General features: G+C 55.1%; 3 long non-coding RNA genes across 3 annotated transcripts, besides 1 other annotated feature; all 3 read left to right on the forward strand.

The window, feature by feature from the left end:
* Positions 1-1608: 1608 nt before the first annotated feature.
* Positions 1609-10647, forward strand: LOC105373551 (uncharacterized). The gene is made up of 7 exons (XR_007087171.1): positions 1609-2566; positions 3207-3386; positions 3549-4351; positions 4908-6225; positions 6688-6828; positions 8828-8951; positions 10496-10647. It is a non-coding gene; the product is annotated as an uncharacterized LOC105373551 (long non-coding RNA).
* A 1300-nt stretch (positions 10648-11947) lies between these two features.
* Positions 11948-14269, forward strand: LOC107985776 (uncharacterized). Its single transcript, XR_001739122.2, has 3 exons — positions 11948-12555; positions 13304-13420; positions 13507-14269. It is a non-coding gene; the product is annotated as an uncharacterized LOC107985776 (long non-coding RNA).
* Positions 16621-17306: an enhancer, noted in NCBI's record as "H3K27ac-H3K4me1 hESC enhancer chr2:111099227-111099912 (GRCh37/hg19 assembly coordinates)". NCBI's record gives its function as "activates a minimal SCP1, AML or CMV promoter by ChIP-STARR-seq in primed H9 embryonic stem cells {active_cell/tissue: H9 hESC(primed)}" and the evidence as "EXISTENCE:reporter gene assay evidence [ECO:0000049][PMID:30033119]".
* Positions 17620-18925, forward strand: LOC124906061 (uncharacterized). Its single transcript, XR_007087172.1, has 3 exons — positions 17620-17850; positions 18498-18647; positions 18841-18925. It is a non-coding gene; the product is annotated as an uncharacterized LOC124906061 (long non-coding RNA).
* The last annotated feature ends 220 nt before the right edge of the window (positions 18926-19145 follow it).

A 19145-nucleotide genomic window follows, 5' to 3' on the forward strand; every position in this document is an offset into this window, starting at 1 on the left:
ATGAAATGAGATGATGCAGAAGAAAGAAGTATGCAGAGTGTTGGGGAACGGGGCATTGGAGGATGGCTGGAGTCCTGTTCTGCTCCTGGCTAGGGTGTAATCTTGGCAGACTGTTGCAGTTCTCAGTGTACAGGTCCTGTTAAATTTATCCCCAAGTAGTTCATGTTTCTGGATGATGTTGTAAGTGGAACTGTATTTTTTATTTCCATTTCCAGTTGTTCATTGCTGGTAGTGATTTGTGTGTATTGACCTTGTATCCCTCAACCTTGCTTACTTCATTTATTTGTTATGGTAGTTTTTGTGTAGATTTTTAAGGGTCTTCTCTGCCGGTAATCATGTTATCTGTGAATAAAGATGATTTAAATTCTACTTTTCCCTTTTTTTTTTTTTTTTTTTTTTTTGAGACGGAGTTTCACTCTTGTCGCCCAGGCTAGAGTGCAATGGTGCAATCCCAGCTCACCGCACCGCAACCTCTGCTTCCCAAGTTCAAGCGATTCTCCTGCCTCAGCTTCCTGAGTAGCTGGGATTACAGGCATGCGCCACCATGTTTGGCTAATTTTGTATTTTTAGTAGAGATGGGGCTTCTCCATGTAGTCAGGCTGGTCCCGAACTCCTGACCTCAGGTGATTTGCCCACCTCAGCCTCCCAAAGTCTTGGGATTACAGGCGTGAGCCACCACGCCTGACCAACTTCTACTTTTTCAATCCATTCACATTTTGTTACTTTTCCTTGCCTTATTATACTGTCTAGGGACTCCACTACTGTTTTGAATAGAAATGAACATCCTTGGCTTCTTCCTGATCTTAGGGAAAAAGCATTCAGTCTCTAATCACAACGTTGCTGTTAGCTGTAGTTTACGGGTGCCTTTAATCAGGTTGAGGACATTCTCTTCTATTTCTTGCTGAGTTTTATCAGGGATAGATATTTAATTTTGTCCTGTGTTTTCCTGAACCTATAGGGGTAAGCATATGGATTTTCTCTCCTTTGCTCTGATAAGATGGTGAGTATCATTGTTTTTTGGATGTTAAACCAATCTTGCATTCCTGGACTTCATGTGGTTATGATGTTATCATTTTTACATATCATTGAATTTGATTTGCTAACATTTTTGTAAGTTTCTTTTAATCTTATGTGTATGAGAGATATTGTTCTGTAGTTTTTTCTAGTCTCTTTGGTATCAAAGCAACACTGGCTCAACTAATTTTCCCAGGAAATTAGTTGCAAAGTAGTCCCTGCTCTTCTCTTTTTCTGGAGGAGTTCATGTCTGTCTGGTATGAGTTCTCTCTTGAGTATTGTATAGAGCTTAGTAAAGCCATAGGGCTTAGAGATTTCTTGGTGCAAAGATCTTTACGAATTAAATGTCTTTGACACGTTTAAGGCTATTCAGATTTTCTATTTCTTCTTGCAACAGTTTGGGAATTTGTGTCTTTCAAGGAATCTGTTCATTTTCTGTTAGGTATAAGGTTGATTGTCAGAGAGTGGTTCAGGCCACATGTTTACTGCCCTTTCAGTGTGTCATCTGCAGTGAGAGCTCTTTTTCATACCTGATATTGGTACATTTTTTTCTCTTTTTCTCTTTATTAGTCTAGTTAGGGCTTTATCAATGTTATTTATCTTTTCAAAGAACTAGCTTTTGGTTTTATTGATTGTCCTTATTGATTTTTCTGTTTTATTAATCCTGATTTACATTTGCTCTCCTCTTTTCAGCTTCCCAAGGTGAAAGTAGATAGCTGATTTTACATCTTCTTTGTTTTCTGATTAGACATTGAATCCTGTAAATTTGAATCTATGCACTGCTTTAGTTATATCCCACACACTTTATGATGGTGTGTTTCTATTATTACCCTTTGAGTTAAAATGCTTCTAATTTCCCTGTGATTTTTTGTCTAATGGATTGTTTTAGTGTGTGTTGTTTAATTTCTAAGTGTTTGGGGCTTTTCTGGGTGTCTTTGATTTCTAACTGAACTCTATTATGATCAGAAAACATACTCTCTAATATTTCAATCTCTTGAAATTTATCAAGACTTTCCTTATGGCAAACTGTGTGAGTTTGGAAGGTATTTAACTCTCCTCAGGCCTCCCTTTCCTTATCTCTAAAGTGGAATTGATCATAACAGTGCCTGAATGCTTCTATTAGGTGAAGTCCTACATAGAAAGCTCAAAGTCAACACTCAGTAAATGGTAGCTACTGCAGTTAGAGCCAGACTGGTTAGTAGCTACCAATTTAAATGCAGAGCTCCCAGTTGGGGCTGGACCTCTGCGTCTAAAGAAAATAACAGGCATGGAACACCTCACCTCGGAGACAAGAGCTTTGTCATTTCTCATAGGTAAGGAGCCCCTTGGCCGACCCTGCAGCCCCCAACACATGCAGCCCCTGTTCTTCCCACCTCTCCAGCTCCTGAGTGTTCCACGGCCCCACCGTTGCCTGTGTTCTTAGAAGTGGGTGCAGGTAACCCAGACAGCAGCAAGCTGGGGAGAGGCCAGGTTGGGTCAGTCTTCATTCCCAACCCACAGATGACAGGCAGGAAAGATGAGTGGTCGCCTCACCAGCCACCGTGGATGTGAAGTAAGCACCTTCTCAGGGAGGATTTTGGGCATCCCAGCCCACCCAGAGGTGCACAGACGACAGCATTGCTGTGCAGAGCTGGGTGTGCAGTGACAAGGACCATGGGGGACACTGAAGCCTGTGGGAGGCGATGTTATGGAGAAAATGCGGACACCTGAGACTGCCGGGTTCTAATAACCAGGGCTCCCCAGGCTCAGAGGGGTGGCTGGAAGAGAGGAGCCCAGGAGCTGGGCATCAGCAGTGCTGCTGAATGCCAGGAAAGTCACACTCAGGGGTGCAGCCAGGGTCTGGCAGGCCCCAGCCCTAGGAATTCCATGTTCTCTGGGCTCAGCTAGGAAAATCAGGACCCGTACAAGTTTAAAGGCAGCCTGGATTATTCAACTTAGAGTTTTAGCCAAGACAGAGGAACGATGTGGCTGGAAATCACTAGCTCTGAGGATGTGAGCCATGGAGAAAATCCTTCCAGATCCTGAGGATTAGGAAGGGTGGGGGAGGGGAAGGGCATCTCAAAACATTCGTTATTTTCATTATTGTTAACTTTAAGACTGTGTAGGATCCCCCCCAACACCCCCACAAAGGCAAAAGATTTACCTCCTCAGTTTTGTTCAGGGTGGAAATGAAATGTGTCATTCATTCCCAGTGCTCTGGCCACAGGGCAGCAGCGGCGAAGGCACGGAGGGGAGCCCAGCACAGGAGGGCAGGAGGGAAGCGGCTCAGACACCATGTGATCAAGGTTCTCTCATCAACTCACCTCCACTTCTGCAAGGCATTACCGCCCCCACCTTGAGGCCCTCGGCTTTCCCTTTGCCCACCCACTCTGGTGTGTGTTGGGGACAGGCCAGGTGCCAGGGCTGGGAGGGGGCCCCTGGAGAGGAGGGGGCATGGGCTACAGAGCTGCTCCATGGGAAAGAACAGGCCCTGGTGCTGCTTTGCCTGTCAATAAGAAGTGGGGGCCTCAGCTAAGTGTCTGGTGGTCTTGCAGGGGACCACAGGTTACACTGCAGTGACAAGGAGGGGCTGAAGGGGCAGAAGGGGAAGAGAGGCAGAGCTGACAGGGGTCCCAGCATCCTTCCGGCCCTCTGTGCACCCCCACTTCTGTCTCATGTGCCAGGCCCTGGGGCAGCGCTGAGGGTCCAGGTGCTCCCCATCCAGGGGAGAGGCAGACGCCAGAGCTTCCCTAAAGCTGCGACCTGGGAAGTATTGAATCAGGGTGGAGACAGGGCCCTTGAGGCTCAGACGAGGCACCCCTGAGAGTCTGTCTGCTCAGGGAGGAGCCCAGGAGGCTTCTTCCAGGCTGGGAGAGCTCCCCACAGAGGAAGCAGCACTGTGCAGAAGCAGAGAGTAGAGCCTGTGCTGCTCTACCCTGCTCCCTGGCAGTGATGGCACATGGGCCCGGGGTGAGACCCAGCCTCACCCTGCATGGTGCAGACCCCCCAGAAGCCACTCCAGGTGCCAGGCTTCCAGCTCACCCTCCACAGCCAGCAGACTCCCCAGGGGATGAGGACCCCAAGCCCTGGTGGGACCCACCCCATGAGGCCCCCCTCACAGGCTACTTCCACCCATATGGTGCTGCCTTTGTGCCACGCCATGCCGGAAACTTCAAGGACAGGAGAGAGGTGCCCCACCAGGACACCAGCTTCTGCTCAGCAGGTCAGTTCTGGATTCTGCCTTCTGCTTGCAAGACAGGAAGAGTGGCCTTGACTCTGACCTTGCTGATTGGTGCTTATCAAACGCTAACAGAAGCTGATGTTAAGGGACTGACAGCAGCCCGGGCAGCGAGTCCAGGTACCAGTCAACGGGTGAGCCCCAGGAAAGCCACACCCGGGGTGCAGCCAGGCCTCATCAGGCTCCAGCTCTGGGAACTCCATGTTCTCTGGGTTCAGCTGGGGAAATCAGGACCTGTATAGAAAGTTCCAAGGCAGCCTGGATTGTTCAACCCAGAGCTGCCAGTAAAGACAGAGGGTTGACGGGACTGGGAATCACCAGTGCTGAGGACAGGAGAAAAAGAAATGAGAAGTTTTAAAGTAAAAAGTGAGAGTGTCAGTAGGTACATAGGAGGCCTTTCTTGGGAGCGGACAAAAGACTGGGCCTAGAAAATGCCAGGCCAGGGATGGCCCAGATCTGCTATGCACAGGCTGTGTGATATCAGCAAGGTGCTTCACCTCTCTGAGCCTCATCTTTACACTAGAGGCAGTGATACCCCTTTCCTGGTAACCAGGGATGGTGGCAGCTCCTGCACTCCCAGGCCCATGGGAGGGTCAGGTGTGGCCAAGGCCTGTAGAGCTTTGGTTGCTTTTCTTGTCACTGCTTCCCTTGAGAGAGAAAACTGCTGTCTCCCCAGTTCTCAGCCTGTGTCTTCGGTGCCCTGCGGGACACTTCTGCCCCAACAGAGCCACCCGCCCCATCCCATGCCAGCCGGGTACATTTGGCCCCCGCTTAGGCCAGGATGAAGCCACAGACTGCACCCCTTGCCCAGCAGGCAGGGCCTGTACCCAGGCTGGGCTGACACACCCCGACGCAGCGTGCTCACCGGGGTAAGTGCCCGCCATTTCTCAATGATGAGTGTCCCGATGGGGGCCAGAGCCATCCCCCTAACACCCTTAGAGAATCAGTCCCAGGTCAAGGCCAGACTTCTCCCAGCCTCTGACCCTCTCAGGGTTCGGAGAGGGCTGCGCCTTCAGATCAAAGCTCTGTCTCAGCCAGCCCAGGGCTCCAGGACTTGCCCCCGAGCACCGAGGCCCAGCACTGTCTCAGGTCCATCCATGCTCAGGAGGCGTCTAGGGAGCTGTCTTCCTGGCTTTGTCCATGGAGAAAGTAGCTCAGAGAGGCCAGGTTACCATGCAGACTCACAGAGCAGGCCAGGGGCACGGCGGGATCTGGCCATGACTCTCCAAGATGCCGGGCTCTGCGTGGTGGGCACCAGGTGCCAACTCCCCTGCTGCTGTAGGTACGTGTGCCCTTCAGGCTCCTCCAGTCCCCACGCTCCCTCCCATGCCTGCCCTCCTGGGACCTTTAGCAACCGCAATGACCTCTCCCACCCATCGCAGTGTGAGGTCTGCCCCGAGGGACTAGCCTGTCCTGGGGGTAAGTGAGGAGGGGGACAGTGGCCTCACCACCTCAGGACCCTGCCTTTGGGTGAAAAACCAGTTCCACCCCGGGACAGGGAGGCCAGGACAATAGACCCTGACCCATAGCCCCTTTGTTCCTCACAAAGAGCATTGCCCACCCCTCCATGGGGAGCCCAAAGGATTGGGCAATTAAAAGCAGCCTGAGTCCCGACCCTGCTGCCTCGGGTACGGTGGCCTTGGAGGTTGTTAATCCAGATACCCCCTGCCCCGAGGCAAGGCCCCAGCCCGTGTCTCTGACGCCTGCCAGGGGTTGTGGCTGGAGAGGGGCAGCAGCCCTTCAGGTCTAGTTCAGTACTGTGTTTGCAGGAACCGGGGGCCCAGACTGGCCCCCCATCCCCTGCTCAGCTGGCCATTATTGCCCTCCCGGCACCAAAAAGCCAACCCAGTTCCAGTGTCCTCCCGGCATCTGGAGTAACCAGACTGGATTGACCATGAGCGAGGAGTGTATGCCCTGCCCCAGGGGCTGGTTCTGTGTCAGTGGAGCTCAGGTGCCCTCAGGGACATGCAGGGCCGGGCATTACTGCCCATGAGGTGAGTGGGGCCAGACTCTGCCCTGGCAAGGTTGCAGGCAAGTGCCAGGAGAGGGTGCCATGGGCTGGCCTGTGCACCTCCTCTGGAGCAGATGCAGCAGGAGAAGCCTGGTGTGCAACGGGAGAGGGGAAGCTTCCATTTCAGGACCACCTTCCTGAGAGGAGGGCTGGGAGGAGCAGGAAACTCGGGGAGGCTGTGGGGACAGAAGCCACCAGCAGGCTGGGGGCTGGAAGGGATTGATAAGCCTCAGAGCCTCCTAAATGGGGGTTCCCAGGTGTCTCAGCCCAAAGCACAGCTTCCTAAAGACTGTGTCCTGGAGAGTGACACCCCCTCCCCCTGCCCCATCCCCAGTGGCCTCCCCTGGGAACTGTCTCCAGGCAGCAGGTGAGGAGCTGGTGTGCCAGTGATGACACAGGTCCGACCCCTCTTTCTTCCTCTGAACCCCTCTTCTCTCTGAAACAGGGGCGAAGTGGAGGACACAGTTCCCCTGCCCAGCAGGCACCTGCAGCTCCCAGGCAGGCAACGGCCAGCTCGAGGACTGTCTGCCCTACCCCCCGGGGCCTTCTGCCCCAGTGGGGTCCCTGAGCCGGAGCTCTGCCAACGGTAAGGAGGCCGCATGTGTGGTTGTTATTGAGGCCAAATCGCCACGTTCATTGTGTGCCTGCTGGAGCCCAGCACTGGACACTGGTACCAAGGGAGAGGAGGGCCCAGCCTGCCCTCAGGACCTGGCCACCTTGTTGAAACAGGACACACAGGAACAGGATGAGCTGGACCCAGGGCTATAGGTGCCCCAGGTCAGGGGCACCCCTACAGCCAGGAAGTTGAACAAGAGAGAATCACTCTGGGTTACAGTCAGTGGAGAAGCCATCAGCTTGTGGTGACTCGATTCAGCCTCAAAAGATGGGCAGAGTGCCGGGCATGATGGCTTGTATCTGTACTGACTGGAGTAACTGGCCTGGATTGACCATGAGCGAGGAGTGTGTGCTGAGGCAGGAAGATTACTTGGGGCCAGGAGTTTGAGACCAGCCTGGGCAACATGGTGAAACCCCGTCTCTAAAAAAATATAAGAATTAGCCAGGCATGGTAGCCTGTAGTCCCAGCTACTCAGGAAGCTGAGACGGGAAGATCACTTGAGCCCAAAAGTTCCAGGATGCAGTGAGCTATGATCATGCCATGGTACCCCAGCCTGGGCTACAGAGCAAGACCTCATCTCTAAAATTATAAAAAATTTATTTAAAAGATGAGCAGAGTCCAAGGAGGGATGTGAAGGTATCCCTGCTGAAGCAGCCGCGTACCAGCCCACCATCCTGAAAAAAGAAGCTGTTTCAGAGCTGCCCACTCTAAAGGCCAAACCCCTCCTAAAGCTAATTGCTGCAGAGATCTCAGCAGAGATCATTTGGCCCAAGCTGTGGGATTATCTGTGGATTTTACTGTTTTATTAAAATGTGCCTTTTATTCCTCTGGTCAAAAAGAAAACTTAGGGTTTGTCTTACTAAAAACAAGCAATACACATTCTTCAGGTAAAAAGTGGAAATGACATTGATCAAAACAAATTTCAGATCAAATGCAGATTTTAATTTTAAAAAGCCAAAATCACAAAATCACAAAGCATAAATAGATATTTATAAAACTTGAGAGAATGTGGAAAATCTAAGCCTGGGCAACAAAAGTGAAACTCCGTCTCAAAAAAAAAAAAAAAAAAAAAATGAGCCAACCTCCCTGGCAGCTTACAAGCAAGGGTTTATAGAGGCAGGGGTAAATTTCAGGAGAGAAATTTACCCTTATACAGGCAAAATTGTAAATCAAGACATGAAGTTTACACATTGGCCTAAAAGGGCAGTCTGTCTTGAAGCAGGCACTTCCGCGTCATAGGTGGAGTCAAAGATTCCCCGTTTGGTTAAGGAATTGAAGCTGTGTCTAAACTCTTAGGGTCAGCAGAAAGGGATGTTAAGGTCTGGCCTGCGGGCGTGCCAGGAGCCCCCAGGCAGAAATTTAGAACAAAGCACTGAGGCAGTCAGAGTTCAGTCCTCACTCCCCCCTTATCTGAGGTCTGCCTGCCAGCGGGTCCATTTGCTGGGGGTCCTGGTTTCTGAAAAGCAATCAGGGACATATGCTAAGATGGCATCTTTAGCTTCCAGAGAAAACCAAGCCTCTCGTGGCTCTGACTTCCTTGGCCACTGTTCAAAGCTGCAGTTACCTTCTTGCTTATCGGGCTGCTCATTTACTCCTCAGGGCTAGTGAGGTGCTGGACTTTCCCTTGAAGGAACTCAAGATTTGTCTTTATTTCCATGCTGGGAGGGTCAGGGGTAGCAGGATCCTAAGAGGGGCCCCGGTGCATCTCACAGACAACTTTAGAAAGAAGCACAATTAGCCTGGTTTTTAAATCTCCTGCCCTGCCTTCTCCAGCTGAGGCCACACCCTCAGCCTCCCCTACGGGGCCTCCTAAGGCTCAGGCGGGCTGGGAGTTCTGCCCTTACACTCTGAGGGGAAGCTGGGGGACAGTGGAGGGATCTGGCCTTGGAGAAATGGCGACTTCATGGGTGGGGACTCTTCCCCAGGAAGGCCATGGGCATCCACCTTTAGCTCTCTCCACCCCCTCTAGAGGAACGTACTGCCAAGGTCCAGCAGCCAAGCTGGCTGTGGCCTGTGTGCCTCGCCCTGCCAGTCACCACTGCCCTGAGAGAGGCACCACCACGCCACGACCATGCAGCACTGGCAGCTTCTCTGTAAGTGTTCCCAGAACAGACTCCATCCTCAGAGGGCTCTGAAGAGTGGGGGATCCTAAAATTGGGAGGTGCCTGCCCCAGCCTGCCCCGATGGTGACTCCCCAGAGCTCCGCTCAGGCAAGGGAAACACGCAACTACAGGGAGAATCCTTTGCTCCAATGTGGGCTTGGGAGCTGGGCAGGCCTCCAGGTGCTTCTTCTAGGGCAGAGGGGGCAGGCCTGGGCCCTTGCTCCATGGGCCAGCCTGGCGCCTATTGGGGAAGGGGAAGGGGAAGAAGCAGAGGGAGGGAGATGGGGGAACAGAGTCATTGCCCTGAGCCCACTGGGGTAGGTGTCTGCATTTAGTTCCCTCTACAGGGAGCTATGGGTGATGAAGGCAGCACACTTCCATTTTACCTCCTCTTCCCCCACCACCCAGGTAAGCAATGAGCAGGAGCCTGGGACATTGCATGACATTGGCCTTCCAGACCCAGAGGAGCTATCGGCACCCTCCTCCCCACTGCCTGCCATGTGCACTCAAGTGTCAGGAAGGGGGTGCCATTGCACGAGTCCCTCACTGCTCTGCTAATGCCATCTTTGCAGGCTTCTTCAGTGAAGCTTGGTGATTATTCCAAGAAATGATGTCAAGCTTAGGGAAGCCACAGGTGGCCCTGGGGAGTTGTGCAGTCAAAGAATGTGCAGTTTATTCAGTATCTCGCAGCTTTCCACACAGGGCAACTGTGGCCAGTCACTGCAGCCCAAAGAGCCCAAATTGTGTTTCGGACACAAAATCTTCCCCTCCTTCTCAGGAAGCACCGTCATCGCCCCTTACAGTTACCTGGAGCTCTACCATCTACAGCAAATTGTGTTTCAGACACAATCTTTCCCTCCTTCTCAGGAAGCACCATCATCCCCCCTTTCAGTTACCTGGAGCTCTACCATCTACACAGCACTCACTGTGTCAGCTCAGGGATACCCACACCCCCAGCATAGCTTTCCCCTTCAAGATGAGGAGGGGTCTGCAGATGGCACAGCTGGGAGGCAAACCCAGCAGGGCTCCAGCACCAATACTCACCTGGCATGGCAGCCCCCAACCTTCTGCCCTGAGTCTTCCCAGTGAGCCCAGGCCTCTATGTGGACACCTCGAGAGCGCTGGCAGGCATGGGGAGGTGGCAGGGTGGGTGACCCAGAACCCACAGTATGGCCCACTGTGCAGCCATCGTGACGGCCCTGCCCAGACCACTCATGAGTGCAGCCCTGCAGGGCCACATTGGCCTCTCCTGACTCATGCAGAGGCCTCCCGGAGGATCAGTAGCCCTGAGAAGACAGAAGGAGCCTCCAGCCTGGGCCCTCCTCCTCCGGGCATTGCCAATCCTGCAGCCATGTGCTTGGAGAGCTCCCTGGTTCTGTGGCATCCGCCTTCCTCATAGGGGAGGTACGCACTGAGCCAGGCCTGGCCAGCAGCAGCCCCACATACCTTTCCTCAGTACCTGTCGTGCACCAGGCCCACCTATGCATTCCAGGTGTGGATGGAACCTCGACCTTATTGTCCACACCCCTTTCCAGGGTCCAGGTCATCTCTGGTGCCAGGAGTGCTCAGGAGGAAAACTCTGCAACCAGACAAAGCTGCTTGGCCCTGGGCCATGACGTGTCGCCCTGGGCACTACTGCCCAGCCCAGGGCCTGCTATCCATCCCCTGCCCCATGGTGAGCCTCTCCCCTGGGATCCCCAGCTGGTGTTTCTGGTTCGGCATGGGAAGGCTCTGGAGCCATTGGCCCCATACTGGTGGTTGAGAGGGACAACGTCCCTTCAGCATGACATGGCCATACCCAGCCCCTGCCTCCCCCACCACTCAGATAAGGGCTGGGCTGCTCACATTCCCACGGCTAGTTTCCCTACGGTGCCAGACCAGAAGGTCACGAGGGATGGAGTAACCCAGGCCCAGGGAGCAGGAGGTGGGGAGGAGGAGGGAGGGGGGAGGGAGCTGGGGAGTTAGGTGCAGGTGGTACTCCCCGTGGGGGCAGCCTCCCCTCTGTTTTGCAGCCAGACTTCAATCTATGGAAACCTCAATCCCACACACTAGTGGATGGGTCCTGAGGGCTCTGTCCTTGGTGAGGACAGATTGTCTTCTCCCTGGTTCTGTGTGCCCAAGGAGAGAGGGTGGAGGGCCCTGCTCTGCTTCCTCCCTGGCCCCACTGTGGCTTCCAGAACCTTGACCCTGGTGACATCCCTCTATCTGCCCAGGGCACTTTCCGAAAGGCCCCTGGGGCTGCCCGTGTGGAATACTGCCAGCCATGCCACCTGGGGGCATTCTGTGGCAAAGCTGGCCTGGCTGAGCCCCAGGGCCTGTGCCACCCTGGGCATCACTGCGGGCCTGGCTCCAACACCTCGTCCCTGGTGAGTGCAGGCCCTATCAGGCCTTCCCAGGGCAGGGGTCAGGGACACCACAGGGCAAAGGCCCAGCACCTGCCTGCCCCGTGAGGGGCAGAGTAGCCCTGAGAAGATAGAATGAAATCACTGCAGAGCGGGTAGAACTGCAGCCATTATACATGGCCCGTGAAAACATGTAACCAGTGAGGAAGGGCCCAAGAGGCTAGCATCCAGTACCCACTGCAAAAGGCACCAAATACAAATATGTCTTCAGCCAGGAAAAGGCTCAGTGGGCTGACATTAAGGGCACATGAAGCAATGCCACTTCAGTACCCGACGCATCTACTAACTACTGATAGTAAAGCAAGTGCTGAAGGCCTCATAAGACGTCCGTGTGGGAGAGTCCATGCTCTCATGCTCTCCGCTGCAGCCTGGGCCCAGGGGCTGCTGCAGTCTTGCAATACCTAACGAGAGCCTAGGGCAGCTTGGAATTATTGGAATTGATCCAGTAATTCCAATGTGGGAAAGAATCTGAAATGGGAAAAAAGTCATTTGTGAAAAAACGTTCAAAGCAACAACAAAACACCATAAAGGCCCAATAATAAAAAAAAATCTAGACAGAGATATAGCTTATCAACCTAGAGGGATACTAGGTAAGCATTAATAATTGTTGTAAGTACATCGTTTGATGCATAGATGATTGATAGATGATAGATAATTGATTGATTATTTGAGAAATGATAAATATAGATTGATTAATTGATAGATGATAGTTGCACCTCATCACAATTAAAGCTGTGTGTTGGTGATATTAGCAGAGAGTTGGAATTGGTTAGGTTATTTAACAACTTAACAATCAAAATTTACTTTCTTTTTCTGAAGTTAAATTCCTGAGTGTTTCCCAGAGGGTTCCTGGCGGTGCAGAACAGGTGTGGCTGGGCTGAGCTGGGCAGGCTTCCCTAGAGAGGGGCTCAGGGAGGAAGAGGAGGGAAGCCAGTGGAGAGAACCCACTTGCTCTCAGCTTGTAAACCTCAACAGACCCCTCTTCCTCTAGAAGGGACTCCCCTTTGGTGACCTCTGTCCCCCGGGTCATTTCTGCCCTGCTGGCACCAAGGACCCCAGGCAGTGGCTCTGCCCGGCTGGCACCTGGAATGCAGAGAGAGGGGCACAGGACATAAGCTGGTGCCTGCCTCGCCCACCTGGGCTCTTCTGTGCCACCACAGGCCAGGCTGCCCCTGGGGGCCCGTATGCACCAGGTAAGGACTCCTACATCCCTCTGAGCATGAAGCAGAGCACGGCTGGGACCTGCCACCCTGGGAGCCTCAGTGCCTGGGGGAGAGGCACGCTGGAGAGAGCCCAGGGCAGGTGTGCCTGGGCGGTGTGGCCAGGCTTGTGTGAATGAGGAGGAGGCAGGCTGGAGACTGGGCAGAGGCGGATACTGAACATGGTGGGGCGGGGTCTCAGACGGCAGCATCCAGCTGCTCCCAAGCTGCTCACATCCTCCCAGCTTGAGGCCCGGGTGTTGCGGGAGGCGAAGGGGATGGGGGAAGTGTCCTGGAGGGTGAGGGGAGGGTTCTTTCTGCTTGGCCCAGGGAGGCCTGCCACCTCTCCAGAGAGCACTGCCCATCTGTCCCTGGGACAACACTTGGACCAGCCTCTGAGAAATGGGCTGAAGGTTCCTCAAGAGCCTCTGCGCTTGGGGTCCCCATGCACAGCAGGCTATCCATGGGTTTAGTGAGGGGCGAAGTTTGGGTCCAGACAGACGAGAGGCGGGCACCGTCCTCCACTATGCTGCTGCCCACACTGCCACCTTCACTCGGCCATGTGGGAGACACAGATTTGAAGATGTGGATTTGAGAGGGTCCTACGTTATGAGCTTACTGGGGCACCTCCAGAGCCCGATCCCACCACAGCAGTCACGGGTACAGCCGGAGCCTCGTGCATGGGAAGGCGGGAGCCAGGCCTCTCCAGAGAGCAGGCCGGCCTGGTGCTTCCCTCCTCCAGGTTTCCACTGCCCAGGAGGGGCGCAGACCCCGACACCCCTTGGTGGGCTGTGGGGACACTTCGAGGGCTCCCTGGCGGCCACACCTCGGCAAGACGGGGAGCACAGCTACGGCACAGGTACTCGGCCTGCTCAGAAAGCACAGTAGGACACCTACACACTGGACGGGCGAGGCCTTGGGATGACTGAGGTCACCTTTTTCCAGGCTGAGAGACCCACCAGGGGAGGACCTGCTCCCCAGGTCATTACTGCCCCCAGGGCACTAGCCACCTCCCTAGGCCCTGTCCTCCAGGCGTGTCCAGTCCCTGGGAGGACCGAAGCCAGGCCCACAGCTGCCCGCCATGTCCTGCAGGTGAGGAGGGGGGGCAAGGCTGTGCGGTGGGGCCCAAGGGACTCAGCTCCTGGAAAACCTCTTTTGCTGTCCCAGGGCCCAGAGGTCTGTGATGCGAGGTAGAGGGCAGGGCCTTTGGGCGGAGTCAGAACCCACTTCCTGACTGTGGGAAATCCCTTAACTCGGGAATCCTGAGTTCTCCCCTCAGATGAGAGCTGAGATGAGCATTAAATAAGACTGAGCTCAGGAAGGGCAGTAAAGAAACACCTGTCCTGGAGGAGGCTGCAGAGCAGAATAAGCCTGAGGAGAGGCAGGGCTGGACGTGGACCCCACCGCCACGATGGCCCCTCCCGCAGGGCAGGCGAGCGGCAGGGACGGAGGGCATAACAGAGAAAGGTAGGATCCAGTCTCTGCAGGGTCTCTGACATGCAGGAAATGTCCCATCTCTGCTGGTGCCTGGCCAAGGCTTCCACGCTGCCCAAAAGATGAGAGCAGCATCAGGACAGCTTTCCTGGAGAAGTTAAGGGCTGAGCTAAAGAAGGAGGATCATAAAAAGGTCAATTGGAGGGTGCTGGGCTGGAGGAGCTTTAGGAGCAGGACTTCCCACATGTCCTTGCAGCCACAAGAGGCAGCCTGGACCTGTGTTCCCCGAGGCCCTTGAGTGGCAGGCCCAGCCTTCAACCCTGGCATAGTCCCAGCATGACCTTGGTGGCCCCCAGCCCACAGGCAGGGCTCTGAGGACTATGTTGTGGGATTAACATCCACCCAGCAAGCCAAGTGGCACTTTGGCTTCACAGGCAGTGGCTCCAGGACAGGGTCCAGGGACACCTCAGGGTGGAGAGGCTAATAAAACCACCCCTGGCCTGAACCCCAGCCCCACCCTCCCTCTCCCTGAGACAGCTCATGAGGTGAGGTGACCTCTCCCCCTACCGAGTCACCTGAGGGCTGGTGGTTGTGGAGATAACTTTCATGCATGCTGTGAGGCCACCAGTGCTTTCACCTGAGCTCCTCCACCTTCTTTTTGCACCTTTGGCCACCTGTGTGGGGAGGGTGAGGTGTCGTCTTCCACGGGTGTCCCCACCCTCCCATATAAGACATGTCTTCACACAAAGCCGTTGGCTTTAGGGACAGTCACACATTACTGTTTCTTTTCTCTTCCCATAGAAATATAAGGGCCCCTTCTCCTTAGAGTACTTGTCAGTGTAATTTTTATTAAATTAGGTCCATCTCATTCAGAAAGGGTTTGAGCAAACCATAAGTGATGACATAATGAATATGTAAATGAAAACAAGCTTAGCTGGAGTGGAAGCAGGTTTCTAGAACACTCATCTGGAGGCTCCCTGAGTGGGGTCTGGAGCCCCAACTCTTCAGTGCCTTGCAGTGCCCTCCACACCAAGAGTGGGGCTGAAGGCACCACACCCACCTTTCCACAGGATGGGCAAGTCCTGGAACCCCCATGCTTTCTCCCCAGCTTTGGGCTCCTAAGCAGGGTCTGGCACAGATAGCCAAGAATTAATTCAGAAGGGGCCGCATCTCAGGGCCCACTGCCGTCCCTGGGCTTGAGAGCCACCCTGGCAGTGGAGGGCACTGTCACTCCAGCTCGCGAGCTCTGCTCCCTTATTCTGGGAAATGTCCCACTGCAGGGGTGTGTGAGCTGGGGGTGGTCGAGAGCCTGAGTGGGGGCCAGGGAGGGCTGCTCTGCAATCTCAGCCACTTCTGATTCTCTGGGCAAGAGCTGAGGTCACTCATCCCAATAAAGGCATCCATGTGACTGCGGGAGGGCCCTGCCCTCTAGGTCACTTCTGTCCAGTGGGCACAGGGGTGGCCCTGCCCTGCCCTATGGGCACCTTCTCAGGTTAGTGAGTATGAGTGCCACTGCCCTGGTCCCAGGGGCTGAGCCCAGACCTCCTCTCGGTCCTCCTTTCCACTTAACAGCTGACCAACAACATCCCCCAGCCATGGGAGAGTGTGAGGCTTGGAGAGCCGGACTTCCACCTGGGCTGCGAGGGCAGAAAGCCTTGGGGAGTGTCGGTTGGAGGGGCCAGATCGAGGGCAGGCCATGCGGGCTTTGAGGGGCTTGAGAACACGTCATACTCAAGAAAGCAAAGCCATTAAGAATTTGTGTCTGCCGATATCTCTTTTGAGACCAGACCCATCTCCTCATCTTTAGGACCCTCCCAGCTCCCAAGAGAAGACAGCCCAAAGCAAGGGCCAGTCGTGGAGCTGATGGCTCAGGGGAGGGCGGGGGGTAGTGTGGGGCACTGTTAGATGTTCTGATTGTAGCTGCCAGATCACAGAGGTCTGTGGCCCTGGACGGCCTGAGCTTGAATTGGGATTAAGACAGAGAAGAATTATAACCAGGTGCATATCTCAGAGGGGAAAGAGAGACAGAGAGAAGAGCCCTGCCACACTTTCCCTCAGGCACCTGCCGGAAATGCTACCTGGAGCCAGTGTAGGCAGGAGTCACAGGGAGCCTGAGAGAGGAGAGATGAAAAGGAAATCGCGGAAAGGTGGTCTCTGCCAGGGTGCGCCTGGGTCCACCCTTTCAGAGAGGCCTGGTCCCACAGCCCCTTCCTCCCGCCTGCTCCCCTCCCTGGCTCATCTCCTGGGTTTCTTTCTGTCTCCCCAGAATGTTTCTCTCCATGGTCTCTGAGGGCCTGTCCTGTCCCCCTGGCCATTTCTGTGGTGCCTCTGGCCTGGCTGCGCCCTCTGGCCCCTGCTCCCCCGGCTACTTCTGTCTGGCAGGAGCCTCCTCCCCAACCCCGACAGGTGTGGAGCCCCCTGGGAGCGGGTGAGCCCTGTACCACCCAACGCCCTGAGGTGGGGGCTCTCATGGTTTGGCACCGATGGGCTGTGGGTGGTTTGAGGATGGAGGGGACGTATGTAAGAGGGGCTGGAGTCAGATGGCTGAGGCGTGCTGTGGTCTGGCTGCCCTGCCCATTTACGGTCACACCTGCGGCCTCCCAGCCCACCTCTGTCTCACTCAGACCTGCTGAATCCACCACAGGTTTGCCGGGAGGTGGACAGAGAGGACGGGTGTTGGGGGGAGGGGGTTGCAGTCAGTGGACACCGAATGGTGCCCCATGGGCCACCCAGAAGCTGAGCTGATCGTGGGCATTGGCTTTCTTGGGTAGGTGGGGGCCACAGCCAAGACTCCCAGAGCAGACCCTCTACACATCCCCCTCGAGGTGCAGGTCAGGAGAGGGGGCAGAGCATTAGGCCCTGGAGGTCAGCGTCCAGGATGTCTGCTTCCTCTAGAGGCTGCTGACCATCTTCCAGAGGACGCCCCCTTTGCAGCCATCTCCAGTGGTCAGGGGGCAGCCTGGAGTCTCTGGGTCCTCAGGAACATGTGAAGGCAGATAGGGCAGCTGATCCTTGGCCAGGATCCTTGAATCCCTCTGCTCTGACACTTCCATTATTCAGAGAACATTGGAGGAGCGAGTTCAGCTCTCAGATGGAAGGTTGAGTTCTGGGGCATCATGGATGAGGACTGGAGAGCCAGAGCCAAGCCCCCGTTCAGGCTGCTGAACCTGGACAAAAGACCAAAACAGAAGCAGCTGGCCTGGCTTAGTACAACTCAGTGGGAAAGCCCTGGTCTGTCAGCCTGTTTTACTGAAAAGTGCACAATCATGGTGTGTCCTAGAAAGAGCACTGGGAGGGATGTCTGGAAAACCAGCTCTGAGCCAAGGCAGAGTCCAGGGAGATCCTGGCTCGCCCGCTAACGTCTTAGGACTTCATCCTCAGTAAAAACCAATCATTGCTCTTGTCCACCTACCAAACAGGGATTTTTCTGAGGCCCGAATAATGTGACGTTTGTGTAAAACACATGCTTTTTGATCTGTAAGGTGTGGTACAAATGCCAGTCACAAGCACGGCTCCTCTCAAAAACAAACCTCTGACCTAAACTGGAGTCCACATTTGGTTCTGGTGCCGGGGCACAAGCCTCCCCCAGCTCTGGCACTCTCTGCTGGGACTGGGGTGTGCACTCCTCACTTAGCTTCCTTCCTCCCCTCAGGCCACTCAGGGCAGGGGGGCCCCTGTCCCCGAGGCCACTTCTGCCCCAGGGGAACCAGCCTCCCACAGCCCTGCCCTGCTGGCTCCTACAGCTACCTGACTGGCCAGGCCTCCTGCTTCCCTTGCCCCACTGGCTACTACTGCCCCGAGAACGTCACCAACTACAGCAGGCACCCCTGTCCCGCTGGCTTCTACTGCCCCGAGGTGAGCGCCTAGGCCACAACTTCCCGGGGCGAGGCTGGGCAGAGTTGTACAGCTGCTCTAGGCTCAGCTGGGGACTTGGGGGCTCACAGCAATGCAAACTCTGTGGCAACAGACACATGCATAGGTGTGTCCTCTGCTTCCGGGCTTTCCCACCACCCGTCCTGAAGGCCAGGGATATGAGGGCACTCCAAGGATGAGCTCTAAGCAGCTGGTGACAAGTATGAGTTCCATCCAAGTCTCCAGCTGTGTTTTAAAATGCCCGAAGGTTTTACATTGTATTCCATAGCATATCCGTGTTGGCTAAAAAACAAATATGTGAAATTACTTTAGCAAAATGTAGAAAGTTTGGGTCCCGTGCCTTTCAGTGAAGTTGAGCACCAGGAAGGGGAGTAGTGCACATGCTGTGGCTTTGTGGAGCCTGGGTCTAGGGCCACCCAGCCCAGGGGCTGAACTCTCCGGCCTGGAAGGCCAGGAGTGAGTGAGTTGTGGGGTTGAGGGTGGGGAGTCTGCCAAGGACCAGCCCTGCAGGAGGAGGGGTACAGGGAGCAGCTGGCCACATTGAGCCTCCCCTGCCCCAGGCCCTGGAGCAGAGGGCGCCTTCAGGAACCAGCAAGCTGGGCTCCCCTCCTCTGAACTTTGCTTCTCAGGCACGAAGTACGCCACCCAGTTCCCCTGCCCTCGGAGCTACTACGACCCAGACCCACTGACCCAGAGCCTGGACAGCTGCCTGCCCTGTCCCCCAGGCCACTGCTGCGGGTAGGAGAACCTGACCCGGGCCTCTGGGCCTTGTGCGGCAGGTGAGTCTCCTGCCTTGCCCTAAGAAGCCCCCTGTCCATCTCTGCACTTCCCATTTCTGCCCCTGGACCTGGGGTCATCCAGACTATCTCCTGGAGCAGCTACTGGGAGGGATGGGTGGGCCTGCAGCCTGGTAAGCCTGGCCTTGGACTCCTTGGCCCACCACCCACCCCTCCCCACTGGTTTCTACCCCAGGATGGTTCTGTGTGTCTGTGGCATGGACCGCCCGCCCCTTCAACCTGGACAACTACACCAGCACCAATTGCCTGTGCCCAGCCACAGCCACAGGGGAAAAGTGCCCTGCTGGCTCCTACTGTCCAGAGGGCAGCCCAGAGCCCATGCCCTGCCCACCAGGCTCTTTCTGTGGCACCTCTGGTAAGGACCTATCGTGCTGTGGCCTAGGCTGTGGCTGGTGGGAGAACCAATGTGAGGGTGAACATGTAACCGCCATCTTTCCCTGTCCAATGAGAAGCACTGCCTGCCTACCTCAGGGGGCTGTG

This window comes from Homo sapiens, chromosome 2, assembly GCF_000001405.40.
Source record: "Homo sapiens chromosome 2, GRCh38.p14 Primary Assembly".
Classification (NCBI taxonomy): domain Eukaryota; kingdom Metazoa; phylum Chordata; class Mammalia; order Primates; family Hominidae; genus Homo; species Homo sapiens.